This window comes from Homo sapiens, chromosome 19, assembly GCF_000001405.40.
Source record: "Homo sapiens chromosome 19, GRCh38.p14 Primary Assembly".
Lineage (NCBI taxonomy): Eukaryota > Metazoa > Chordata > Mammalia > Primates > Hominidae > Homo > Homo sapiens.
Window position 1 is genome coordinate 49,472,865 of NC_000019.10, and position 23,553 is coordinate 49,496,417.

The following is a 23,553-nucleotide window of genomic DNA, read 5'->3' on the forward strand; positions in this document are numbered from 1 at the left end:
AGGGGCCCCAGGACTTGGTCAGGAAGGAGCTAGAGCAGGTCCTTTGTCCATGGGCCACATGAGCTATTGGGGCTTGTATCTCTGCCTCTCTGCTTCATTTAAATCTTTCTAGCCAGATGGAAGGTCTGACCATTGGGTGCGACAAGGCAGCTAACCCAGGCTGAACAGGAAGTGAGGCAGGCAGAGGGATCAGGGAAGGGAAATGGATGATGAAGGCCAGGACGGGCGAGGCTTTGCTGCAGTAACACATAACCCCCGAATCTGCGTGGGCCACAACCACAACATTAGTTTGTTGCTTACACTCCCTGTGCTCATCCGGGGCTGGCAGGATCCCTGTGCTCCTCCGAGTGGCACAGGAAACTTGGCTGATAGAGGCGCTCTCTCCATGCATCCTCCACCATCCACTCCCCGGTCCCTTAGACTTCCATTCAGAAGTGACACCTGTCACCTCCACCCTCATGTGACTGGCCAAAGTGAGTGTGGCCATGTCCGAGTTCCCCAGGATGGGACCTCGAATCCTCCTGCTGGGGGGGTGGGGGCAGCAGATGTTTCAGGACAGTCTGCCACGGATCAGATGGGTGAGCAAGAGATTCAGGATGGGCGTGATGGGTCACACCTGTAATCCCAGCATTTTGGGAGGCCGAGGCAGGCTGATCACCTGAGGTCAGGAGTTCGAGATCAGCCTGGCCAACATAGTGAAACCTCGTCTCTACTAAAAATACAAAAATTAGCCGGGCATGGTGGCACGCACCTGCAATTCCAGCTACTTGGGAGCCTGAGGCACAAGAATTGCTTAAGCCCAGGAGGCGGAGGTTGCCGTGAGCCGAGACTGTGCCACTGCACTCCAGCCTGGGCAACAGAGTGAGACCCCATCTAAAAAAAAAAAATGCTTCAGAGATTCAGAGATCCACAGATGTGGAAGAGAGCTTCTATTTTGTCTCATGTACCACCTCACCCCTCAGTTTGGAGTTGGAGAAGCCGAGGCTTAGAGAGGTCAAGGGGCTGGCCAAGCTCCCACAGTGATAAAGCTAGTGCTAGGGCGACACCTGCCAGGCCCAATGTGACAAGATGCATCCTGAGTCCTGTGTGCCAAGCCTTGGCGGGGCAAAGTTGGGGCCCGGAGGACGGTAAGACACAGCAACTGCGAGTTCCCAGAGACAGATCCGGGTTCCAGCCCCAGCTCACCATGCACTGGGCGTGCCACCCAGGGAGTCAGCCCCACTGCAGCCCCCGCTGCGGGGCGTCCGGAGAACGCGCCATCTGCGGCGTGAGCGGCCGCCTCTCACCACCAGGGGGCGCGCTCCGCCTGGGCCCAGATTCCACCCCTTGACTGTCTCCCCCCAAAAATTTCCTTTCACTTTCGGTCTCTGGCTGTCACCCGGCTTGGCCCCTTCCACACCCAACTGGGGCAAGCCTGGTGCGTGAGGAGACTTGGACTCTAGGTCCCCAAGGGGCGGAGCCAGGGTCCCCACTCCTGGGGCAGGGGGAGCAGAGGGTGGGGGGCTGGGTTCCCGGGTCCCTAACCTGGGGAGGGTTCTGGGGACCAGACGTCGAGGTTCTTAGAAGTGGAGATGAAGAGTTTTCACCGTAACTGGGGCAGACGCAGGAAGCCTGGGGGAGGAAGGGGCGGAAACTCAGCCACATCAATGGGACGCGGGAGGGGCGGGGAGGCAAAGGGGCGGGCAGGGCAGGGGCTGGGGCATGAGGGTCCGAGACTTGTTCTTCTGTCCCTTCCAAGACCCGGCGACAGGAGGCATGAGGGGCCCCCGGCCGAAATGACAGTGCTGGCGCCAGCCTGGAGCCCAACAGTGCGTAAACCCCAGGGACAAGATCAGGGGAGAGGGGAGGCACAATGTCAGGATGGGGCAGAGATGAGGGGAGATGGACGGGAGAACAGATGGACAGATGACGAGGAAATAGGAGGGGAGATGGACAGATGTGAGGGGAGATGGATAGGAGAGGAGACGGACAGAGGAGGGGGAGATGGACAGAGGATGGGGAGATGGACAGAGGAGGGGGAGATAGAGGAGAGGGAGATAGAGAGGAGTGGGAGATGGACAGGAGCGGGGAGATGGACAGAGGAGGGGGAGATGGACAGAGGAGAGGGCAGATGAACAGAGGAGAGGGAGATAAAGAGGAGGGAGGTGGACAGGAGGAGGGAGATGGACAGAGAAGGGGGAGATGGACAGAGGTGGGGGAGATGGACAGGAGGGAAGATGGAGAGGAGGGGGTATGGACAGAGGAGAGGGGAGATGGACAGGAGGGGGAGATGGACAGAGGAGAGGGAGATGAAGAGGAGGGGGAGGTGGACAGGAGGAGGGAGACGGACAGAGGAGAGGAAGAGAGACAGAGGAGGGGGGAGATGGACAGAGGAGGGGGAGATGGACAGAAAAGGGGGGAGATGGACAGAGGAGAGGGAAGGTGGACAGAGCCAAGAACAAATGAAGAGGACGTGGACCAAGATCAAGAGAGAAGCAGGCAACAGTGGTGTAGAAGGCAGAGGGAGGGACAGAGCTGGAGGAACCCGGGCGAGGAAACCAGACGTGAAGATGAGGTGGTTGGAGAGAGACCAGCAGAGTGGGGGAGATGGGGAGAGAGAGGGGTGGGGCAGAGGGGGATGCAAACTGGACAGCATTGGACCAGAGGCAGAGAGAAACCGGGAAAGACAGGCAGAGATGGGGCCATGTCTCCAGAAAGTGTGGAAGAGGCAGAAGGACACCCAGGGAAGGAGGAGCGGGGAAGACAGAACAGTACAGGTGGGAAGCCCGGAGGAGGGGGCTGTGTGTGGAACAGCAGAGGGCTCCCCCAGCACCCGCTCCCCTGCAGACCTATCTCCTCCTGCTGCTGCTGCTGAGCTCGGGACTCAGTGGGACCCAGGACTGCTCCTTCCAACACAGCCCCATCTCCTCCGACTTCGCTGTCAAAATCCGTGAGCTGGTGAGCGGCGCTGCCCCGGACCCCCTCATGTGATCCCCCTTCCCCCCACTTTTTTTTTTAAGTAGAGATGGGGTCTCTCTCCCTGTGTTTCCCAGGGTGGTCTTGAACTCCTGGGCTCAAGCGATCCTCCCACCTTGGCCTCCCAAAGTGCTGGAATTACAGGCGTGAGCCACTGTGCTTAGGGGTGTCATCCCTTTTTAAGGGCAAGGTTCTGTGGCTTCTTCTGGGCTCCCCCTCTCTTGGTCTTGTCCCTCTCTCTCTGGATCTCTGCTGCCACCTCTGGGTCCCCACAGTTCTGTTTCTCGCTGTTTTCAGCCAGGCCTGATCCTGTTTTCTCCCGCAGTCTGACTACCTGCTTCAAGATTACCCAGTCACCGTGGCCTCCAACCTGCAGGACGTAAGTCATGTTGGGAGGGACCTGGGATGGAGGTGGGGACCACAGACTCAAGATGCTCCACCGAGGCGAGTGGATAACCAGGCCCTCCCCTCCCCAAACCCAGGAATCAGAGTCCTCAGCCCCTCCTCCCTCAGACCCAGGAGCCCCGGCCCAGCCCCTCCTCCCTCAGACCCAGCAGCCCCGTGCCCAGCTCCTCCCTCAGACCCGTGGGTTCTCCCCTCTAGGAGGAGCTCTGCGGGGGCCTCTGGCGGCTGGTCCTGGCACAGCGCTGGATGGAGCGGCTCAAGACTGTCGCTGGGTCCAAGATGCAAGGCTTGCTGGAGCGCGTGAACACGGAGATACACTTTGTCACCAAATGTGCCTTTCAGGTCAGCCCTCAACTTAGGGGACAAGTGAGGGGAGGGAGATGCCTTCCTACGAATTAGAAGTAAAGCTCCACTAGGCCTTATTGGCGATTTGGACCATAGCCACCCAACGAAGGTAGAGCGAGAAGCGCCACCCTGCAGAGCCCTGTTCCTACAGAACAACACGTCCCCAGGCACCGGTGATGGGGAGCAGTCTGGTCCCATTCTGGGGCCCCGGTTTCCTAGGCCATGATGAAGGGTGCCACTGAGGGGTTCTTCCCCCAAAAAAAAACAGGGAGAGAAGGGGTCTCTAAACTGAGGAGGCCGGGCGTGGTGGCTCACTCCTGTAATCCTAGCACTTTGGGAGGCTGAGGTGGGCGGATCACTTGAGGTCAGGAGTTTGAGACCAGCCTGGCCAACATGATGAAATCCCGGCTGTACTAAAAATACAAAAATTAGCCGGGCATGGTGGCTCAGGAGGCTGAGGCACAGGAATCGCTTGAACCCGGGAGCCAGAGGCTGCAGTGAGCCGAGATCATGCCACTGCACTCCAGCCTGGGAGACAGAGTGAAACTGTCTCAAAAACAAAACAAACAAACAAAAACCTCTCTCTGAGGGCTGGGTGCAGTGGCTCACACCTGTAATCCCAGCACTTTCGGAGGCCAAGGTGGGAGGATTATTTGAGCCCAGGAGTTCAAGACCAGCCCGGGTAACACAGTGAAACCTCATCTCTGCACAAAAATAAAAATAAATTAGCCAGGCATGGTGGTGCCCACCTGTGGTCCCAGCTACTCAGAAGGCTGAGGTGGGAGGATCACTTGAGCCCTGGAGGTCGAGGCTGCGATGAGCTATGATTGGGCCACTGCACTCCAGCTTGAGCGACAGAGCAAGACCCTGTCTCAAAACATAGAATAGGCCGTGTATGGTGGCTCACGACTGTAATCCCAGCACTTTGGGAGGCTGAGGCGGGTGGATTGCCTGAGCTCAGGAGTTCGAGACCAGCCTCGGCAACGTGATGAAAACCATCTCTACTAAAATACAAAAACAAAATTAGCCAGGCATGGTGGTGGGCACCTGTAGTCCCAGCTACTTGGGAGACTGAGGCAGGAGAATTGCTTGAACCCAGGAGGCAGAGGTTGCAGTGAGCCGAGATCACACCACTGCCCTCCAGCCTGGGCGACAGAGCAAGACTCCATCTCCAAAAAAATAAAAATAAAATAAAAGCCTGGGTACAGTGGCTCACGCCTGTAATCCCAGCACTTTGGGAGCCCGAGGCGGGCAGATCACGAGGTCAGGAGTTTGAGACCACCCTGGCCAATGTGGTGAAACCCCGTCTCTACTAAAAATACAAAAATTAGCTGGGCATGGTGGCGCGCGCCTGTAGTCCCAGCTACTCAGGAGGCTGAGGCAGAATTCCTTGAACCCGGGAGGTAGAAGTTGCAGTAAGCCGAGATCGTGCCACTGTACTCCAGCCAGGGTGACAGAGCAAGACTCTGTCCCCAAAAAATAAATAAATAATAAAGTAACTTTGGGAGGCCGAGGCGGGCGAGTCACCTGAGGTCAGGAGTTCGAGACCAGCCTGGCCAACATAGAGAAACCCCGTTTCTACTAAAAAATATAAATAAATAAATAAATAAATAAATAGGCTGGGCACGGTGGCTCACGCCTGTAATCCCACACTTTGGGAGGCCGAGGCGGGCGGATCACAAGGTCAGGAGATCAAGACCATCCTGGCTAACACAATGAAACCCCATCTCTACTAAAAATACAAACAATTAGCCGGGCGTGGTGGCAGGCGCCTGTAGTCCCAACTACCTGGGAGGCTGAGGCAGGTGAATGGCGTGAAACCAGGAGGCGGAGCTTGCAGTGAGCCGAGATTGCGCCACTGTACTCCAGCCTGGGCAACAGAGCGAGACTCTGTCTTAAAAATAAATAAATAAATAAATATGGCCAAGCACGGTGGCTCATGCCTACAATCCCAGCACTTTGGGAGGCCAAGGTGGGCAGATCACCTGAGGTCAGGAGTTCGAGACCAGCCTGGCCAACATGGAGAAACCCCGTCTCTACTACAAATACAAAAAATAGCTGGGCATGGTGGTGGGCACCTATAGTCCCAACCACTGAGGAGGCTGAGGCAGGAGAATCACTTGAACCTGGGAGGCAGAGGTTGCATTTCACCACTCCAGCCTGGGCAACAGAGTGAGACTCTATCTCAAAAAAAAATTAATTAATTAAATAAATAAACTCTGAGAGCCAGAGCTCACTGGGCCCTGTTGCTGGGCATCGCCAGCAGGGAAGGGCCTTTGGCCTGCGGAGGGGCGGTGGGGGGATGACGTGGTGGTGACGTCTCCCTCCCCTGCTCCCAGCCCCCCCCCAGCTGTCTTCGCTTCGTCCAGACCAACATCTCCCGCCTCCTGCAGGAGACCTCCGAGCAGCTGGTGGCGCTGAAGCCCTGGATCACTCGCCAGAACTTCTCCCGGTGCCTGGAGCTGCAGTGTCAGCCCGGTAAAGGCTTCCAGGCACCCCCACTCCTTCCCCTCCTGTCCTCACGGCCGCTCCTCCTCTCTGCACAGTGCATCCCAGACCCCATCTTTCTCATATTGGTTGTGACAAGGGCAAGCTTATTCCTCTTTCTGGAGCTCAGTTTACCAATTTTTTTTTTTTTTTTTTGAGACGGAGTCTCGCACTGTCGCCCAGGCTGGAGTGCAGTGGCGTGATCTTGGCTCACTGCAAGCTCCGCCTCTCGGGTTCATGCCATTCTCCTGCCTCAGCCTCCCAAGTAGCTGGGACCACAGGCGCCCGCCACCACACCCGGCTAATTTTTTGTATTTTTAGTAGAGACGGGGTTTTACCGAGTTAAACCAGGATGGTCTCGATCTCCTGACCTTGTGATCCACCTGCCTTGGCCTCCCAAAGTGCTGGGATTACAGGCGTGAGCCACAGTGCCCAGCCTACCTTTTTTTTTTTTTTTTTTTTTGAGATGGAGTCTTGCTCTGTCCCCCAGGCTGGAGTGCAGGGGTGCTATCTCGGCTCACTGCAAGCTCTGCCTCCTGGGTTCACGCCATTCTCTTGCCTCAGCCTCCCCAGCAGCTGGGACTACAGGCGCCTGCCACCTCACGCGGCTAATTTTTTTTTTTGTATTTTTAGTAGAGACGGTGTTTCACCGTGTCAGCCAGGATGGTCTCGATCTCCTGACCTCGTGATCTGCCCGCCTCGGCCTCCCAAAGTGCTAGGATTACAGATGTGAGCCACCGCGCCCAGCCTATTGTTTTTTTTTTCTAAGTCGGAGTCTTGCTCTGTCGCCCAGGCTGGAGTGCAGTGGCGCAATCTTGGCTCACTGCAACCTCCATCTCCAGGGTTCAAGCGAATCTTCTGCCTCAGCCTTCCGAGTACCTGGGATTACAGATGCGCATACCATGCCTGGCTAGTTTTTGTGTTTTTAGTAGAGATGGGTTTTCACCATGTTGGCCAGGCTGGTCTTGAACTCCTGACCTCAAGTGATCCACCCACCTTGGCCTCCCAAAGTGCTGGGATTATAGGCGTGAGCCACCGCGCTCAGCCTATTCACTCATTTAATTTGTGACAGTCTGATGAGGTAGGTACAATGATTATCCTAGTTTTACAGATGAGCAAACTGAGGCACAGAGAGGCCAAGCAGCCCATCCAAGGTCACACAGCCAGTGGCAGCCAGGCCTCTCTTTCCTTCCTTACCCCAGCCCTTCTCCTTGGTCACCCAGCCTCCTCTTTCTCCCCAGACTCCTCAACCCTGCCACCCCCATGGAGTCCCCGGCCCCTGGAGGCCACAGCCCCGACAGCCCCGCAGCCCCCTCTGCTCCTCCTACTGCTGCTGCCCGTGGGCCTCCTGCTGCTGGCCGCTGCCTGGTGCCTGCACTGGCAGAGGACGCGGCGGAGGACACCCCGCCCTGGGGAGCAGGTGAGCAGGCTGGGAAGAGGGGGTGAGGGGGCCGAGAGGGTGGCCCACTTGTGGCTGACACTTTGGGGCCCACAGGTGCCCCCCGTCCCCAGTCCCCAGGACCTGCTGCTTGTGGAGCACTGACCTGGCCAAGGCCTCATCCTGGTGAGTCCTTCCTGGGCTATGGGGCCTGGACTTTGTGTCTGCAGGTTGGGAGGGTCACTAGGAGGCCATGGAAGGGTGGTGAGCAGTGGAGGGGCAGGGGCAGCTCTAGGTGCAGAAAGACCCCTCTGGGGCCAGGCGCGGTGGCTCACGCCTGTAATCCCAGCACTTTGGGAGGCCGAGGCGGGTGGATCACTTGAGGTCAGGAGTTCAAGACCAGCCTGGCCAACATGGCAAACCCCAGTCTCTACTAAAAATACAAAAATTAACTGGGCATAGTGGTGTGTGCCTGTAATCCCAGCTACTCAGGAGGCTGAGGAAGGAGAATTGCTTGAACCCAGGAGGCGGAGGTTGCAGTGAGCCGAGATTGCGCCACTGGACTCCAGCCTGAGTGACAGAGCTAGACTCCGTCTCAAAAAAAAAAAAAAAAAAGAAAAGGAAAGACCCCTCTGGGGCCACGGAGACAGACTGGAGACCAAGCCGGAGGCTGTGGGAAGGCCCAGGGTGAGGACCATGACTGAGCCAGGGCTGGGACCATGGGATGGAGTGGAGTGGATGGGCAGAGAGTCAGGGGTCAGAGATCAGGAGGGACCGGCCTGGGGCCTGACAGGCTTGAGTTGGCACAGATAGCCCTGGTCCAGTGATGGGGTGGACAGGGGGGAACCTGGGGGAGGAGTCAGATTAGGGAAAGACATGGAGCTCACTGGGGACCTGAAGGAGCAAGGGGCCCTGGGGAGATCTGTGGATGTGGGAGTTTGCAAGCCTCCTGGGACAGGAAGGAAATGGCATTCCAGAAAGAGGGAACTGCCTTTGGAAGCCCTTTGGTATGAGAAAGCTCAGGGTGTTCCAGTAACTTGGGCCAGCGTGGGGCAGCAAGGAGCCATGGGAGGTGTGAGAGGGAGGAAAGGAGCTGGGAACAGGTGTGGAGGGTGCAGGCAGGTAGGCAGGTGGGCCAGGAGGGAAGAAGGAGGGGAGGCCCCAGCGGGTCCCCTAACATTTCAAATCTAACATTTTGTAGTAATTGCTCGCACATATAGTGCCTTGGTAATGCAGGCCTCATGTGGGGCTGGCTTGCTTGCTTTATTTTTTTTTGAGATGGACTCTCACTCTGTCACCCAGGCTGGAGTGCAGTGGCGGGATCTTGGCTCACTGCAACCTCCACCTCCCAGGTTCAAGCAATTCTCCTGCCTCAGCCTCCCAAGTAGCTGGGATTACAGGCGCCCGCCACCATGCCTGGCTAATTTTTTGTATTTTTAGTAGAGATGGGGTTTCGCCATGTTGGCCAGGCTGGTCTCAAACTCCTGATCTCAGCTGATCCGCCCGCCTCAGCCTCCCAAAGTGCTGGGATGACAGGTGTGAGCCACTGTTCCTGGCCCATGCTGGGCTTTCCACAAATGAACTCACTTCCTTGAGAAGTTCGTGCCATTATGATCCCAAGGCATAGAGAGGTAAATAATTTGCCAAAAGTCACACAGCTCAAGGGTGACAACCAAGATTTGACTTCAGGTTGTCTTTTTTTTTTTTTTGAGATGGAGTCTTGCTCTGTCGCCCAGGCTGTAGTGCAGTGGCATGATCTCGGCTCACTGCAGCCCCCGCCTCCCAGGTTCAAGTGATTCTCCTGCCTCAGCCTCTGGAGTAGCTGGGATTACAGGTACCCACCACCACACTCGGCTAATTTTTGTATTTGTAGTAGAGACGGGGTTTCACCATGTTGGCCAGGCTGGTCTCGAACTCCTGACCTTAGCTGATCCGCCCGCCTCAGCCTCCCAAAGTGCTGGGATTACAGGCATGAGCCACCACGCCCGGCCTCGAGTTTGTCTTGATCCAGCATCTGTGCCCTTCACTCTGCTGCCTCAGTTTCCTGATCTGTACAAAAGGCTCTAATAATAGTCCTTCCACCATAGGGTTGTTATGGGGTGAAGTGAAGTGACACAGGCAAGGCTCTTAGAGCAACGCAGTGGAAACGGCATGTGAGCCACCTGTGCGATTTTCACTTTCCTGGTAGCCACATTTTTTTTTTTTTTTTCCTGAGATGGAGTCTCACTCTGTCGCCAGGTTGAAGTGCAGTGGTGTGATCTCAGCTCACTGCAACCTCCACCTCCCGGGTTCAAGCGATTCTCCTGCTTCAGTCTACCGAGTAGCTGGGATTACAGGCACGCGCCATCACGCCCGGCTAATTTTTTGTGTTTTTAGTAGAGACAAGGTTTCACCATGTTGGTCAGGCTGGTCTCGAACTCCTGACCTCATGATCCACCCGCCTCAGCCTCCCAAAGTGCTGGGATTACAGGCGTGAGCCACCGCGCCCGGGGTCACAGTTTTTAAAAAAGGAAAAAGAAGCAGGTAACTTTATTTTATGCAGTATATCCAAAATGTTGTTATTTCAACATGTAATCAGTATTTCTCAATGATTAATGAGACATTAATCAGTTGGAATCATTCATCATTTTGGGATATTTTACATTCTTTTGTCATACTAAGCCTTCAGCATCCAACGTATAGTTTATTTATTTATTTATTTTTCCTTTTGAGATGGATTCTCGCTCTGTCACCCAGGCTGGAGTGCAGTGGCGCGATCTCAGCTCACTGCAACCTCGGACTCCCTGGTTCAGGCGATTCTCCTGCCTCAGCCTCCCGAGTACCTGGGATTACGCCACCACACCCAGCTAATTTTTGTACTTTTAGTAGAGACCGGGTTTCACCATGTTGGCCAGGATGATCTCCATCCCCTGACCTCGTGATCCGCCCGCCTCAGCCTCCCAAAGTGCTGGATTACAAGTGTAAGCCACCGCGCCCAGCCCAGACAATAAATTTTTATCAGAAATGCTTCATCTATATTTAAATTTCATGAAATTTACAGTTGCCAAAAGTAGACTCACATAGTCAAGTTGTTCAAAACATACATTAAACCAGCCTGGGCCACATGGTGAAACCCCATCTCTACAAAAAATTTTAAAAAGTAGCTGGGTGTGGTGGCACATGCCTGCAGTCCCAGCTACTTAGGAGGCAAAGTAGGAGGATTGCTTGAGCCCAGGAGGTCGAGGCTGCAGTGAGCCCTGATTGTGCCACTGCACTCCAGCCTGGGTGAGAGAGCAAGACCCTGTCTCAAAAACAAAAAAACCACACAGAAGAGTTTAGAATCCCAGTTGCTATCTCTGGGAATCATCATGATTGCTAAGACCGGTATCTATCCAACAACAACAAAAATAATTAGTGCACTCCAGCCTGGGCAATAGAGGGAGACTCTGTCTCAAAAAAAAAAAAAAAAAAAAAAAAAAGATCAAAGACCAGTATCTAAATTGCTCTGTCGCCCAGGGTGGAGTGCAGTGGCACGATCTCGGCTCACTGCAACCTCCGCCTCCCGGGTTCAAGTGATTCTCCTGCCTCAGCCTCCCCAGTAGCTTGGACTACAGGCGCGTGCCACCACACCCAGCTAATTTTTGTATTTTTAGTAGAGGTAGGGTTTCACTATGTTTGCCAGGATTGTCTCGATCTCTTGACCTCGTGATCTGCCCGCCTCAGCCTCCCAAAGTGCTGGGATTATAGGCGTGAGCCACCACGCCCAGCCTATCTTTTTTTTTTTTTTTAAGAAAAGGTAATACATTGAGCAGTTTTCCTCCCAACCTAGTCCCTGTCCAATCTGTTTCCTGTCTTAAATTTATTTTTTATTATAATTTTTTTTTTTTTTTTTTTTTGTGAGACAGACTTTTGCTCTTGTTAGCCAGGCTGGAGTGCAGTGGTGCTATCTTGACTCACGGCAACCTCCACCTCCCAGGTTCAAGCGATTCTCCTGCCTCAGCCTCTGGAGTAGCTTGGATTACAAGCGCCTGCCACCACGCCCAACTAATTTAGTGTATTTTTAGTAGAGACGGGGTTTCTTTTGTTGTTGTTGTTGTTTTTGAGACGGAGTCTCACTCTATTGCCCAGGCTGGAGTGCAACGGCACGATCTCGGCTCACTGCAACATCTGCCTCCCGGGTTCAAGCGATTCTACTGCCTCAGCCTCCTGAGTAGCTGGGATTACAGGCACACACCACCACACCTGGCTAATTTTTGTATTTTTAGTAGAGATGGGGTTTCACCATATTGGCCAGGCTGATCTCGAACTCCTGACCTCGTGATCTGCCCGCCTTGACCTCCCAAAGTGATAGGATTACAGCCATGAGCCGCCCTGCCCAACTAATACCTGATATTAATTTTATTGTATCTCACCCAGCATGGTGGCTCACACCTGTAACTCCTTGGCAGATCGCTTGAGCCTAAGAGTTCAAGACCAGCTTGGGCAACATGGTGAAACCCCGTCTCTACTAAAAATATAAAAATGAGCTGGGCATGGTGGCGTGCACCCGTAATCCCAGCTAACTCAGGAGGCTGAGGCAGGAAGAATGGCTTGAACCCGGGAGGCAGAGGCTGCAGTGAGCTGAGATCATGCCACTGCATTCCAGCCTGAAACAGAGCAAGACTGTCTCAAAAGAAGTTTAAGTCCAGCCTCAAACTCCTGGACTCAAGTGATCCTCCTGCCTCAGCCTCCTGAGTAGTGCACCGGCCCCATCTCAAGTGTTCAGTATTCACATGTGGCTTGTTACTCCCGTATTAAAGAGCAAAAATAGAGAACGTTTCTTTTTCTTTTTTTTCTTTTTTTTTTTTTTTTTGAGATGGGAGTTTCGCTCTTGTCGCCCAGGCTGGAGTGCAATGGCACGATCTTGGCTCACCGCAACCTCTGCCTCCCAGGTTCAAGCGATTCTCCTGCCTCAGCCTCCCAAGTAGCTGGGATTACAGACATGCACCACCATGCCTAGCAAATTTTGTTTTTGTTTTTGTTTTTTTCTTTTGAGACAGACTTTTGCTTTTATTGCCAAGGCTGGAGTGCAATGGTGCAATCTCGACTCACTGCAACCTCCGCCTCCCGGGTTCAAGCAATTCTCCTGCCTCAGCTAATTTTGTAGTTTTAGTAGAAACGGTTTCTCCATGTTAGCTAGGCTGGTCTCAAACTCCCAACCTCAGGTGATCCGCCCGCCTCGACCTCCTAAAGTGCTGGAATTACAGGCGTGAGCCACTGTGCCTGGCCCTAATTTTGTATTTTTAGTAGAGATGGGGTTTCTCCCTGTTGGTCAGGCTGGTCTCAAACTCCCAACCTAAGGTGATCCACCAGCCTCAGCCTCCCAAACTGCTGGGATTATAGGCATGAGCCACCGCGCCCGGGGAAATATAGGGAACATTTCTATCATGGCCACGTTCTCTTGGACAGCAATGCCCTAGCACATAGTAAGCGCTTGCTGGGAATGGAGTTGTTTTGGGCATAAATCTGTGGCCCGCCCCAAGCTAAGCTACTTTCCCTCTCCTCTCTCAGCGGAGCCTTAAACAACGCAGTGAGACAGACATCTATCATCCCATTTTACAGGGGAGGATACTGAGGCACACAGAGGGGAGTCACCAGCCAGAGGATGCATAGCCTGGACACAGAGGAAGTTGGCTAGAGGCCGGTCCCTTCCTTGGGCCCCTCTCATTCCCTCCCCAGAATGGAGGCAACGCCAGAATCCAGCACCGGCCCCATTTACCCAACTCTGTACAAAGCCCTTGTCCCCATGAAATTGTATATAAATCATCCTTTTCTACCAGCTCTGGCCAGGTCTGTCTATGGATGGGTGTGAATGGGGTAGTTTTGATTTCAGAATCTTGGTTTTTGAATTGCAATGCAATGTTTCATTCAATACGTGTTTTCTGAGGTCCCCTGGAGCCCCGGGCCGGCGCTGGGCAATGTCAGAGCCTGGATTTGAGTCAGAACCAGCCCAGGTGCCCCAGGTCTCCTTGGCTATGGACGAGAAGACAAGGGATTCAGCGAGCCTGGGTGCAGGATGCCATAGGCTACTATGGAGATAAAACAGAGGCAGTGTGAGGGGCAACTCACCCAGGCAGGGAGAGCAGAGAGGCTTTCCAGAGCCAAATGGCATTGCGATGGTGACAAGCCAGATTTGGAGGGGGTGGGGAGGGCATCCTGGGCAAGGGACCCAGCTGAAGCAAAGGCCGACAGTCCAGAAAGTGAGAAGTTCCTCTGAGGAACGCTCAGTGGATTGGTGCAGCCAGGCAACTAGAAGCCATTCCTTGATCCACTCTTAGAGCCCCTGGGGAAGACCACCTCCATCTGTTTTACAGATGGATAAACTGAGGCCCAGATAAGGCCAAGGGTTTCTCCAGGTCACAGTGAAGTCGACCAGACACAGGAATCCAAATCTCTAAGCCTAGAATGGGCAAGGCTCCGGGGCTCACGCCGGTAATCCCAGCACTTTGGGAGGCCGAAACGGGAGGATCGCTTGAGCCCAGGAGTTCGAGATCAGCCTGGCCAACATGTCAGACTCCCCCCGTTCCCGGGCCACAACAAAATATATATATATATATATATTAGCCAGGCATGGTGGCGCGCCCCTGTAGTCCAAGTTACTCGAGAGGCTGAGGCAGGAGGATCCCTTGAGCCCAGGAAGTGGAGGCTGCGGTGAGCCATGATCGCCCCACAGCACTCTGGTGTGGACAACACAGCGAGACCCTGTCTCACAAAATAAAGTAAGCCCGGACTGAGTGCGGAAAGGCGGGCCTGGCGGGTCTGGTCTCCCCATGCGGGCCACCAGAGGCCCTGCAGCCTTCAGTCGCTTGAAGGGGTAATGGCGCTTCCACTCACAAACATGGCGGACAGAGCGTGTGAACGAGATGAACAGCCCCTCAAAAATATGGCCGCCGAGGCTGGACGGCCGTGCCCCAGCAGCACCGCCTCCGCGCCCCACGTGATCTCTCGCCGGGCACAGCGCTGACCGCGGAGGTCCAACCGGAAGAATGTCCGGATTGGACATTCGGAAGAGGGCCCGCCTTCCCTGGGGAATCTCTGCGCACGCGCAGAACGCTTCGACCAATGAAAACACAGGAAGCCGTCCGCGCAACCGCGTTGCGTCACTTCTGCCGCCCCTGTTTCAAGGGATAAGAAACCCTGCGACAAAACCTCCTCCTTTTCCAAGCGGCTGCCGAAGATGGCGGAGGTGCAGGTATGGGCTCCGCGCGGGCCGGGGCGGCAAGGGGCCGGGTGGGATCCAGGCCGGAATGGGGTCGCACCCTCTCTGTCTTGCATGTTTTGCGGAGCTTAACATCCATAATGAAGCAAAATGGAAGTCTTTTGGGATAAGGGGAATCTGTAGGAAATGCCGCGGCTCTCTTTAGGCCTAGGGTTGGCTACAATGTGGCATTTCCTTCTCGAGGCGAGGGTGATAGAGCTTCCAGCACAGGACAGGTATTTTGCAACTAGATTTTGCTTACCTTGAACTCGGGTAGTGGGTGGGGGCCCTGGGGTAGAGTCTTGGCCGAATTGGACCCTTGTGTGTCCTCAGCGATGAGGAACACGCGGAAGTGTGGCCGGGCGGTCTCGGGGCAATGAGAAACTGAGTTTTGGCCAAAATGGAAGGTATTTTTATCCCGCTCAGTGCGCGGGCTACTTTGATTTCACGTGGAGGTGTTAATCGGGGTCCCCTGCAGCTCCGGTTCTTTTAATTCTCAATGCCTTTCTGCGGGGGGTCGAGAGCTGTTGGCTGCGGGGCACTCTGGAATGAACTCGTTTTCCGTCGTTTTGGGGATTGGCGATTGTCCTGAGGCGTGTTACTGGAAGTCGAGAGCTGTGATGAATGGTTCCACAAGGATGGGACATCTTTTGGGCCTGACACCTGGGGGCCCTTTCCCTGGCTCCTGGTGTAGCTACTTAAGTATAAAGGAGGGATTGGCCCTGGAAAGGTTTCTTTGTGAGTAGTCTGTTGTTGGGGCGGGTGACATTTCAGAGCCAGGCCGATCTAGGCAAGTTGTGTTCACCAAGCATGTGTCTTTGTGCCTAGCACAGTTCGCAATGTTTTGCGTAGTTCAGTTAACCATATTCCTGAGGCAGTTACTGGTATCCTTGTTTTACAGAGGAGGAAATTAAATTGGAATTGGTGATTTTGGGCCAAGGTCACGACTTCAGGAAGTCTGTCTGGATTTTAGAGTCTTTGTACCAACGCTTACAAAGCATGTGTAACAACCAGTGTGTGCTTCATGCTTTTGCATTAAAACAATGAGGATTTCTACTTTTAGTGTTTTTTCTGAGACGGAGTCTCGCTGTGACACCCAGGCTGGAGTGCAATGGTGCGATCTTGGCTCATTGCAACCTCTGCTTCCCAAGTTCAAGTGATTCTCCTGCCTCAGCTTCCCGAGTACCTGGGACTGCAGGTGCCTGCCACGACGCTTGGCTAATTTTTGTGTTTTTAGTAGAGACAGGGTTTCACCATATTGGCCAGGATGGTCTCGAACTCCTGACCTCAACTGATCTGCCCACCTAGGCCTCTCAAAGTGCTGGGATTACAGGCGTGAGCCCCTGTGCCCGGCCAGGATTTCTACTCCGGAGGAAGCTGAGGTTCGGTGCCTGAGCAGTTTACCGGGGAAAGCAGAGTGCTCTATAGCAGAGCTAGCATGGGCTTTTGACTACTCTGCCTAATCTCATCCCACCTGAAATTCGGTTTTCTTCCAAATTAAATTTGTGGTAGAAACATCCTATACATTAGAAGAGAATTAGATTGTGTTAACATCCTACAATTGATTGGCCACAGTGGCTCAAGCCTGTAATCCGAGCATTTTGGAAGGCCGAGGCACACGGTTCACTTGAAGCGAGGAGTACAAGAGCAGCCTAGGCAACATGGCAAAACCCTGACTCAACAAAAAAAAAAGTACAAAAATTAGCTGCGTGTGGTGGTGCGCGCCTGTAGTCCCAGCTACTCATGAGGCTGAGGTGGGAGGATAGCTTGATCCTGGGAGGTCACAGGATCACAGGACAGCCTGTGCAACAGCGAGACCCTGTCTCAAAACCAAATCCTACAGTTTATTAGTTACAAGGTCTTGTAACTGGGTAGTCAGTGGGCAGAGCCTTGCTGGTCTTCGTTCAAATCCAATTGCTTTGCAAAATACAATCTGAGCATAAAATACTCATAGAAGAACTCAGATATGAGGGGAGTTTGGGCCTCTTAAACTGCTCACTCACTGATCCTGAGGCAGCCTTGCTTTCTCAGTCCCTGTTCCTCATCTGTAGAACGGGGCTCCGTGCATAGTTCCCAGCTCTGATGGCTGGGTGCAAGGCACGCTGTTGGCACGGTAGGACAAAAGAAGGGAATGCTTGCTTGTGAGGACAATCAAAGGCTGTCCTTGTCTCTGAGTCCTTTTGCCCTTGTCTCCCACAGGTCCTGGTGCTTGATGGTCGAGGCCATCTCCTGGGCCGCCTGGCGGCCATCGTGGCTAAACAGGTACTGCTGGGTAAGTCGCTGCTCGTGGCCCCTCTGTCATGGGCCCCCGCTGGAGGTCAGTGATGAGCAACATTCACCATCTTTCGTTTGAGTCTCACGGCCATGAGATCAACCCCATGCACCGCTCTGAGACCTGCCAGCCACTCTTCCCCAGGGTTGGGGACTCCAGGCTCAAGAAGTAATTATGTATTAGGCTAGTTTTTCATTTAAACAGGAACTTAGCTCTGGCAAGTACTGCGCTGTGTCTGGAGGGTGACTGCATAGGCAGTGGTGGGACCCTCAGGCGGCTCGGCCCTGCTAAGCCTTTCCCTCCCTCTAGGCCGGAAGGTGGTGGTCGTACGCTGTGAAGGCATCAACATTTCTGGCAATTTCTACAGAAACAAGTGTAAGTTAGGACCTGGGAGGAGCACTGGAGAGGGTCTCCCTGTGGGGTGTTGAGGCTCTGAAAGCAATTGCAGCCGTGTTGGGAGAGGCTACTTGGGGTTTCTGAGAAGGCCCTTGGAAGTGGGGTTTTGGGGGTGCTGGTAGACTGGGCAGGCCTCACACTCTCCCCTCTCCCTAGTGAAGTACCTGGCTTTCCTCCGCAAGCGGATGAACACCAACCCTTCCCGAGGCCCCTACCACTTCCGGGCCCCCAGCCGCATCTTCTGGCGGACCGTGCGAGGTGAGCAGAGCGTGGGGACTGCAGGTGGTGACGGGCAGGCGGCCGGTGATGAGAACTTCTCCCACTCACATTCGAGTTTCCCGACCATGAGATGACTCCACATGCACTACCATCTGAGGCCACCCCATGGGCCCACCTCAGTGGGGTGGGTGGGCATCCTTATGAGGCCCTCTGACTGGGCCTGCTATCTGTCACCCAACAGGTATGCTGCCCCACAAAACCAAGCGAGGCCAGGCCGCTCTGGACCGTCTCAAGGTGTTTGACGGCATCCCACCGCCCTACGACAAGGTGAGCTATGCCAAACCCCACAGGCAGCGGCCTTACCTGTGGCGTCCATGATGTTCCGCAACTACCTACATTGTTTGATCCTCATGAAAGCAGCACTGGCTGAGACGCCAGTCCAGCCGACCTCCTTCCCTGTCTGTCCCTCCCGGGCTCTTAAGCCCCTCTCTTTCTCTAACAGAAAAAGCGGATGGTGGTTCCTGCTGCCCTCAAGGTCGTGCGTCTGAAGCCTACAAGAAAGGTGAGTCCCAGCTTACGCTGCACCATCTACTTGGGAGATTTCAGGCCTGCTGAGGGACCTGGGGACCTGGAGCCTGGCAGATGATGTCCTTATCTCACGATGGTCTGCGGATGTCCCTGTGGGAATGGCGACAATGCCAATGGCTTAGCTGATGCCAGGAGGCTTGGGTGGGTGCTTTTCTAACAGGCCTGCAGAGAACAGTTGCATTATGATATGCCCAGCTGTCAGTCACCTCCCAGCTCTCAACAGCTCCGGCTCTTCAGGGTGTGGGGGCTTAGATATCCTTACAACTTCATTTGTTCACCCCCCCCCCCCCCCCCCGCAGTTTGCCTATCTGGGGCGCCTGGCTCACGAGGTTGGCTGGAAGTACCAGGCAGTGACAGCCACCCTGGAGGAGAAGAGGAAAGAGAAAGCCAAGATCCACTACCGGAAGAAGAAACAGCTCATGGTGAGGCCAGGGGCTGGTGCTGAGGGGGGCATCTCACTCCTGGACAGGCCTGGCAGGTGCCTTGCTCACAGAGTACTCTTAACTGGCAAAGGACCAGCCGGGGTTGGGGTGGGATGCAGTCCATGTAATGAGGGCAATGCAACCCCTCCTGACCACCACCACCTGCACTTATTCTTGGCAGAGGCTACGGAAACAGGCCGAGAAGAACGTGGAGAAGAAAATTGACAAATACACAGAGGTCCTCAAGACCCACGGACTCCTGGTCTGAGCCCAATAAAGACTGTTAATTCCTCATGCGTTGCCTGCCCTTCCTCCATTGTTGCCCTGGAATGTACGGGACCCAGGGGCAGCAGCAGTCCAGGTGCCACAGGCAGCCCTGGGACATAGGAAGCTGGGAGCAAGGAAAGGGTCTTAGTCACTGCCTCCCGAAGTTGCTTGAAAGCACTCGGAGAATTGTGCAGGTGTCATTTATCTATGACCAATAGGAAGAGCAACCAGTTACTATGAGTGAAAGGGAGCCAGAAGACTGATTGGAGGGCCCTATCTTGTGAGTGGGGCATCTGTTGGACTTTCCACCTGGTCATATACTCTGCAGCTGTTAGAATGTGCAAGCACTTGGGGACAGCATGAGCTTGCTGTTGTACACAGGGTATTTCTAGAAGCAGAAATAGACTGGGAAGATGCACAACCAAGGGGTTACAGGCATCGCCCATGCTCCTCACCTGTATTTTGTAATCAGAAATAAATTGCTTTTAAAGAAATCTGGCGTCTTTGCACTGTGTCTGCTGTGGAGGCAGGCCCCTGGCAAATGGGGGGTGAGGAGCTTGAAGAGGGTAGAATGGGCTGTGCTAATATACAGAATATATGTAACTTGCTATAAATTGAATGATCCTTTATAGACACCGTTTACAAACCAAAGACATAAAATGTGGCCAGCAGTGCCTGGTGCTTCCTAGTTAATGTAAAGCTGTCTCATTCTAATTCAGCTGCAAAGTATGGACCCATGCCCTGCTGCCAGGCTGCTGTAGTCCCGGCGGTCTGTAGAGACTAGCATTTTGCAAATGATAAGCACTAGAATAACAGATAACGCTAGGCTTTATGCACTAAGAGAACCCATTAGATCTGCCAGTCTGAATCCCAGAAAGGGCACTGATACAGAGCATTTAGTACTAGGTAGCAATTTCATAAAATGTCCCTGGTCAAAGCTTGCTGGAGCAGGCCCCGTTCCCATTTTACTGATGTCTAGCAGTCGTGTTCAGTAATACGTCATACCCAGGTCTCCACGCTAAACAGCCTAAACACTAAAAGTAAACATGCTGTGAAGTAAAGGAAGCTAGATTCATGCTGTCCTTGCGGTTGGATGCCAAGATTCAGGAGTAACTGTTTGTTACCTGTATACTTACATGTACAACCTTACCCCAGAGAAAGATGAGTGGACAGTGATGTGCATTGTGTTGATAGCAGATTATAACTTGCCACACCATTCCATCAGGGGCTTATTAACCTTTCCAGAAGAGTCTGAAGAGACCGCAGTGGCTTGTGTTTTCCCTGAGAATCAGTGAACATGGGTGGTGCCTACCCCTGCCAGAGTCCCCACATGGATTCTCATCCACCAGAGAAGCCGACTCCAGAAATAACCAGACTTAGAGCATAATCTTCAATTTCACCAATTCCATGTGAAACGGCACAATTATCCTCCAAAAGCATGATCCATTAGCAAATGGGAATGTGGGCTTTATAAAAATTTTTAAGACTGAGAAGACACCATCAGGAAAGACGAGCCACAGACTAGGAGAAAACATTTACAAGTCATCTCTTTTTGAAGGTCTTGTATCCTGCCATAAAGAACTCTTGGCCAAGTGCAGTGGCTCACGCCTGTAATCCCAGCATTTTGGGAGGCCAAGGCGGGTGGATCAACTGAGGTCAGGAGTTAGAGACTAGACTGGCCAACATGGTGAAACCCCACCTCTACTAAAAATACGAAAATTAGCTGGACGTGGCGCAGGGCGCCTGTAATCCCAGCTAGTCGGGAGGCTGAGGTAGGAGAATCACTTGAACCCGGGAGGCAGAGGTTGCAGTGAGCCGAGATTGCACCACTGCACTCCAGCCTGGGCGACAGAGCAAGACTCCGTCTCAAAAAAAAACAAAAACAAAAAACAAAAAAAACTCTTACAGGATGTGGTGGCTCACACCTGTAACCCCAACCATTTGAAGTGAGAGGACTGGCTTGAGTCCAGGAGTTGGAGTCCAGACAGGGCAACATAGGGAGACTCTGAGTTAACAAGAATTTTTTTTTTTTTTTTGAGACAGAGTCTGGCTCTGTCGCCCAGGCTGGAGTGCAGTAGCGCGATCTCGGCTCACTGCAAGCTCCGCCCCCCGGGTTCACGCCATTCTCCTGCCTCAGCCTCCCGAGTAGCTGGGACTACAGGTGCCCGCCACCGTGCCTGGCTAATTTTTTTTATTTTTAGTACAGACGGGGTTTCACCGTGTTAGCCAGGACGGTCTCGCTCTCCTGACCTCGTGATCCACCCGCCTCCACCTCCCAAAGTGCTGGGATTACAGGCGTGAGCCATCGCGCCCGGCCAATTTTTTTTTTTTTTTTATTAAGATGTTCTATAGCTGCACTAACTGATACACAATACACAAGCCACTAACCCCACTTGTGGCTCCTGAGCACTTAAATATGAATAGAGTGAGGCTGGGTGCAGTCTCACCTGTTCCCGGAACTTTGGGAGGCCGAGGCTGGAGAATCACTTGAGCCCAGGATTTCGAGACCAGTCTGGGTAATATAGCGAGACCTTGTCCCTACTAAAAATAAAATAAATTAGCTGGGCATGGTGACACATGCCTGTAGTCCCAGCTACTTGCAAGGCTGAGGTGGGAGGACTACCTGAGGCTGGGGAGGTCGAGGCTGCAGTGAGCTATGATTGAGCCACTGTACTCTAGCCTGGGCGACAGAGAGATACCCTAGGGAGTCTCTAAAAATAAATAAAATACCGGCCGGGCGTGGTGGCTCACGCTTGTAATCCCAGCACTTTGGGAGGCCGAGGCGGGCGGATCACGAGGTCAGGAGATCGAGACCACGGTGAAACCCCGTCTCTACTAAAAATACAAAAAATTAGCCGGGCGTGGTGGCAGGCGCCTTGTAGTCCCAGCTACTCGGAGAGGCTGAGGCAGGAGAATGGCGTGAACCCGGGAGGCGGAGCTTGTAGTGAACCGAGATCGCACCACTGCCCTCCAGCCTGGGTGACAGAGCGAGACTCCGTCCAAAAAAAAAAAAAAAAAAAAACCGTAATATTCAGCTATAGACTTGTGCTGTTCAACACAGTAGCCTTTAGCCACATGTGGCTATTTAGATATAACACAATCAAAGTTAAACATTTATGTCCTCAGTCATAAAAGCCACATTTAGAGTGCCAGTGACTACCGTGTCCACCAGCGCAGATATAGAAAATTTCCATCACATAAAGTTCTACTAGACGATCCTGTTATCTTCAGAAAAACGGCAGAAGGATCGCTCCACGCCAACCCCTGGCACCAATTAAATCATCGTCTGCGGATGAAATGAGGAGAGAGTAGCTTTCTTTCTCTTTTTTTTTTTTTTTGAGACGGTCTCGCTCCGTCGCCCAGGCTGGAATGCAGTGGCGCAATGATAGCTCACTGTAGCCACGACCTCCCCAGCTCAAGCGATCCTCCTCCCTCGACCTCACAAAGTGTTGGGATTACAGGCGAGGCGCACTGCACTCGGCGAGAGTAACTTTCTTTCTTTCTTTTTTTTTTTTTTGAGACGGTTTTGCTGTTGTTGCCCAGCCTGGAGTGCAATGGCGCGATCTCGGCTCACTGCAACCTCCGCCTCCCAGGTTCAAGAGATTCTCCTGCCTCAGCCTCCTGAGTAGCTGGGATTACAGGCATGCGCCACCATGCCCGACTAATTTTGTATTTTTAGTAGAGACGGCGTTTCTCCATGTTGGTCAGGCTGGTCTCGAACTCCTGTCCTCAGGTGATCCGCCCACCTCGGCCTCCCAAAGTGCTGGGATTACAGGCGTGAGCCACCGAGCCCGTTTTTTGTTTGTTTGTTTGTTTTGTTTGATACGGAGTCTTGCTCTGTCGCCCAGGCTGTCTGTCGGCCAGGCTGGAGTGCCATGGCGCGATCTCAGCTCACTGCAACCTTCGCCTCCCAGGTTCAAGCGATTCTCCTGCCTCAGCCTTCCAAGTAGCTGGGATTACAGGGGCCCGCCACCACGCCCGGCTAATTTTTGTATTTTTAGTAGAGACGGGGTTTCACCATGTTGGCCAGGCTGGTGTTGAACCCCTGACCTCAGGTGATCCGCCTGCCTTAGCCTCCCAAAGTGTTGGGATTACAGGCGTGAGCCACCGCGCTAGGCCGAGAGTAACTTTCACTGCACCTCTGAAAGTTCGTGGGCAGCTCCTGCCCCTAACAAAGATGGCGACGCCGCCACACATGCTCCTAGCACTCCCCGGCCGCCCACCCTTCAAAAAGATGGCAGCCGCCTCATCCGGTTTGAAGGCTGAACGAACAGAGCCACGCGGTATCCAAATCCCACGGGAGCCTACGCCACGCCGAAACAGGATGGACTCCGTACGACTCTCGCGATAATACGGGCGGGCTGAAGGCTGGTCACATCTTCCCTGCCTAAATAATCGCGCCCGGCGTTGTGGGGCCTAAGACTCTCGCGAGACACCGTCTAGCACTTCCCGCCCGTCAGTCCTTCACAGTGCCCGAATCGCCCGCTGGTTTAAGTGCAGCCTGTCAATCAGAGCAGCTCTCGAGGCCCCGCCCAAGGCCGTGCTGCGTTTCTCCTTACGTCACTTCCTCTCCAGCCCCTGCGTAATCGATAAGGAAACCCGG

The 23,553-nt window shown here is 53.7% G+C and overlaps 2 protein-coding genes and 4 non-coding genes across 23 annotated transcripts, besides 10 other annotated features; all 6 read left to right on the forward strand.

Annotated features, from left to right (window-relative positions):
* Window positions 1,351-13,367, forward strand: FLT3LG (fms related receptor tyrosine kinase 3 ligand). Of its 16 annotated transcripts, none has more exons than NM_001278638.2 (9): window positions 1,351-1,417; window positions 1,739-1,808; window positions 2,810-2,937; window positions 3,281-3,334; window positions 3,559-3,702; window positions 6,045-6,183; window positions 7,434-7,612; window positions 7,688-7,756; window positions 13,151-13,367. In NM_001278638.2, exons 5-8 carry the CDS (start codon window positions 3,607-3,609, stop codon window positions 7,733-7,735), a joined length of 462 nt encoding a protein of 153 aa, NP_001265567.1. In that variant the 5' UTR covers window positions 1,351-1,417; window positions 1,739-1,808; window positions 2,810-2,937; window positions 3,281-3,334; window positions 3,559-3,606; the 3' UTR covers window positions 7,736-7,756; window positions 13,151-13,367. The 16 variants fall into 16 exon arrangements, with proteins under 16 accessions (NP_001265567.1, NP_001265566.1, NP_001191431.1 ...); NM_001278637.2 differs by having other exon boundaries at window positions 2,827-2,937; window positions 3,253-3,334; NM_001204502.2 differs by having other exon boundaries at window positions 2,827-2,937; window positions 13,100-13,367.
* Window positions 1,730-1,809: a silencer, noted in NCBI's record as "silent region_10917". NCBI's record gives its function as "represses an Ori minimal core promoter by ATAC-STARR-seq in GM12878 lymphoblastoid cells {active_cell/tissue: GM12878}" and the evidence as "EXISTENCE:reporter gene assay evidence [ECO:0000049][PMID:35858748]".
* Window positions 3,128-3,307: an enhancer, noted in NCBI's record as "active region_14942". NCBI's record gives its function as "activates an Ori minimal core promoter by ATAC-STARR-seq in GM12878 lymphoblastoid cells {active_cell/tissue: GM12878}" and the evidence as "EXISTENCE:reporter gene assay evidence [ECO:0000049][PMID:35858748]".
* Window positions 14,132-14,631: an enhancer, noted in NCBI's record as "active region_14943". NCBI's record gives its function as "activates an Ori minimal core promoter by ATAC-STARR-seq in GM12878 lymphoblastoid cells {active_cell/tissue: GM12878}" and the evidence as "EXISTENCE:reporter gene assay evidence [ECO:0000049][PMID:35858748]".
* Window positions 14,692-14,811: an enhancer, noted in NCBI's record as "active region_14944". NCBI's record gives its function as "activates an Ori minimal core promoter by ATAC-STARR-seq in GM12878 lymphoblastoid cells {active_cell/tissue: GM12878}" and the evidence as "EXISTENCE:reporter gene assay evidence [ECO:0000049][PMID:35858748]".
* Window positions 14,692-15,324: a biological region, named in NCBI's record as "NANOG-H3K27ac-H3K4me1 hESC enhancer GRCh37_chr19:49990841-49991445".
* Window positions 14,720-15,324: an enhancer, noted in NCBI's record as "NANOG-H3K27ac-H3K4me1 hESC enhancer chr19:49990841-49991445 (GRCh37/hg19 assembly coordinates)". NCBI's record gives its function as "activates a minimal SCP1, AML or CMV promoter by ChIP-STARR-seq in naive and primed H9 embryonic stem cells {active_cell/tissue: H9 hESC(naive and primed)}" and the evidence as "EXISTENCE:reporter gene assay evidence [ECO:0000049][PMID:30033119]".
* RPL13A (ribosomal protein L13a) lies at window positions 14,744-19,444 on the forward strand. Of its 3 annotated transcripts, none has more exons than NR_073024.2 (8): window positions 14,744-14,780; window positions 16,986-17,048; window positions 17,368-17,433; window positions 17,611-17,712; window positions 17,915-18,000; window positions 18,176-18,235; window positions 18,561-18,683; window positions 18,865-19,444. NR_073024.2 is itself a non-coding variant. In NM_012423.4 (8 exons), the coding sequence occupies exons 1-8, from the start codon at window positions 14,766-14,768 to the stop codon at window positions 18,949-18,951; spliced, it is 612 nt and encodes a 203-aa protein (NP_036555.1). In that variant the 5' UTR covers window positions 14,744-14,765; the 3' UTR covers window positions 18,952-19,444. The 3 variants fall into 3 exon arrangements, 2 of the variants coding, with proteins under 2 accessions (NP_036555.1, NP_001257420.1); NM_012423.4 differs by having other exon boundaries at window positions 16,986-17,058; NM_001270491.2 differs by lacking the exon at window positions 17,368-17,433.
* On the forward strand, window positions 17,102-17,183 carry SNORD32A (small nucleolar RNA, C/D box 32A). Its single transcript, NR_000021.1, has one exon. It is a non-coding gene; the product is annotated as a small nucleolar RNA, C/D box 32A (small nucleolar RNA).
* Window positions 17,743-18,346: an enhancer, noted in NCBI's record as "H3K27ac-H3K4me1 hESC enhancer chr19:49993864-49994467 (GRCh37/hg19 assembly coordinates)". NCBI's record gives its function as "activates a minimal SCP1, AML or CMV promoter by ChIP-STARR-seq in naive and primed H9 embryonic stem cells {active_cell/tissue: H9 hESC(naive and primed)}" and the evidence as "EXISTENCE:reporter gene assay evidence [ECO:0000049][PMID:30033119]".
* Window positions 17,753-17,835, forward strand: SNORD33 (small nucleolar RNA, C/D box 33). The gene has a single exon (NR_000020.1). It is a non-coding gene; the product is annotated as a small nucleolar RNA, C/D box 33 (small nucleolar RNA).
* SNORD34 (small nucleolar RNA, C/D box 34) lies at window positions 18,043-18,108 on the forward strand. The gene has a single exon (NR_000019.1). It is a non-coding gene; the product is annotated as a small nucleolar RNA, C/D box 34 (small nucleolar RNA).
* On the forward strand, window positions 18,311-18,396 carry SNORD35A (small nucleolar RNA, C/D box 35A). The gene has a single exon (NR_000018.1). It is a non-coding gene; the product is annotated as a small nucleolar RNA, C/D box 35A (small nucleolar RNA).
* Window positions 19,512-19,751: an enhancer, noted in NCBI's record as "active region_14945". NCBI's record gives its function as "activates an Ori minimal core promoter by ATAC-STARR-seq in GM12878 lymphoblastoid cells {active_cell/tissue: GM12878}" and the evidence as "EXISTENCE:reporter gene assay evidence [ECO:0000049][PMID:35858748]".
* Window positions 22,315-23,087: an enhancer, noted in NCBI's record as "NANOG-H3K27ac-H3K4me1 hESC enhancer chr19:49998436-49999208 (GRCh37/hg19 assembly coordinates)". NCBI's record gives its function as "activates a minimal SCP1, AML or CMV promoter by ChIP-STARR-seq in naive and primed H9 embryonic stem cells {active_cell/tissue: H9 hESC(naive and primed)}" and the evidence as "EXISTENCE:reporter gene assay evidence [ECO:0000049][PMID:30033119]".
* Window positions 23,050-23,459: an enhancer, noted in NCBI's record as "active region_14946". NCBI's record gives its function as "activates an Ori minimal core promoter by ATAC-STARR-seq in GM12878 lymphoblastoid cells {active_cell/tissue: GM12878}" and the evidence as "EXISTENCE:reporter gene assay evidence [ECO:0000049][PMID:35858748]".

Coding starts and splice junctions, on each gene's coding strand:
- FLT3LG (XM_011526675.3), top strand. CDS start 1,776: ATGACAGTGCTGGCGCCAGCCTGGAGCCCAACA. Junction 3,335..3,558: donor TGGCCTCCAACCTGCAGGAC/GTAAGTCATGTT, acceptor TCTCCCCTCTAG/GAGGAGCTCTGCGGGGGCCT. Junction 7,757..13,150: donor CTGGCCAAGGCCTCATCCTG/GTGAGTCCTTCC, acceptor CCCATTTTACAG/GGGAGGATACTGAGGCACAC.
- RPL13A (NM_012423.4), top strand. Junction 17,434..17,610: donor CAATTTCTACAGAAACAAGT/GTAAGTTAGGAC, acceptor CCCTCTCCCTAG/TGAAGTACCTGGCTTTCCTC. Junction 18,236..18,560: donor GTCTGAAGCCTACAAGAAAG/GTGAGTCCCAGC, acceptor CCCCCCCCGCAG/TTTGCCTATCTGGGGCGCCT.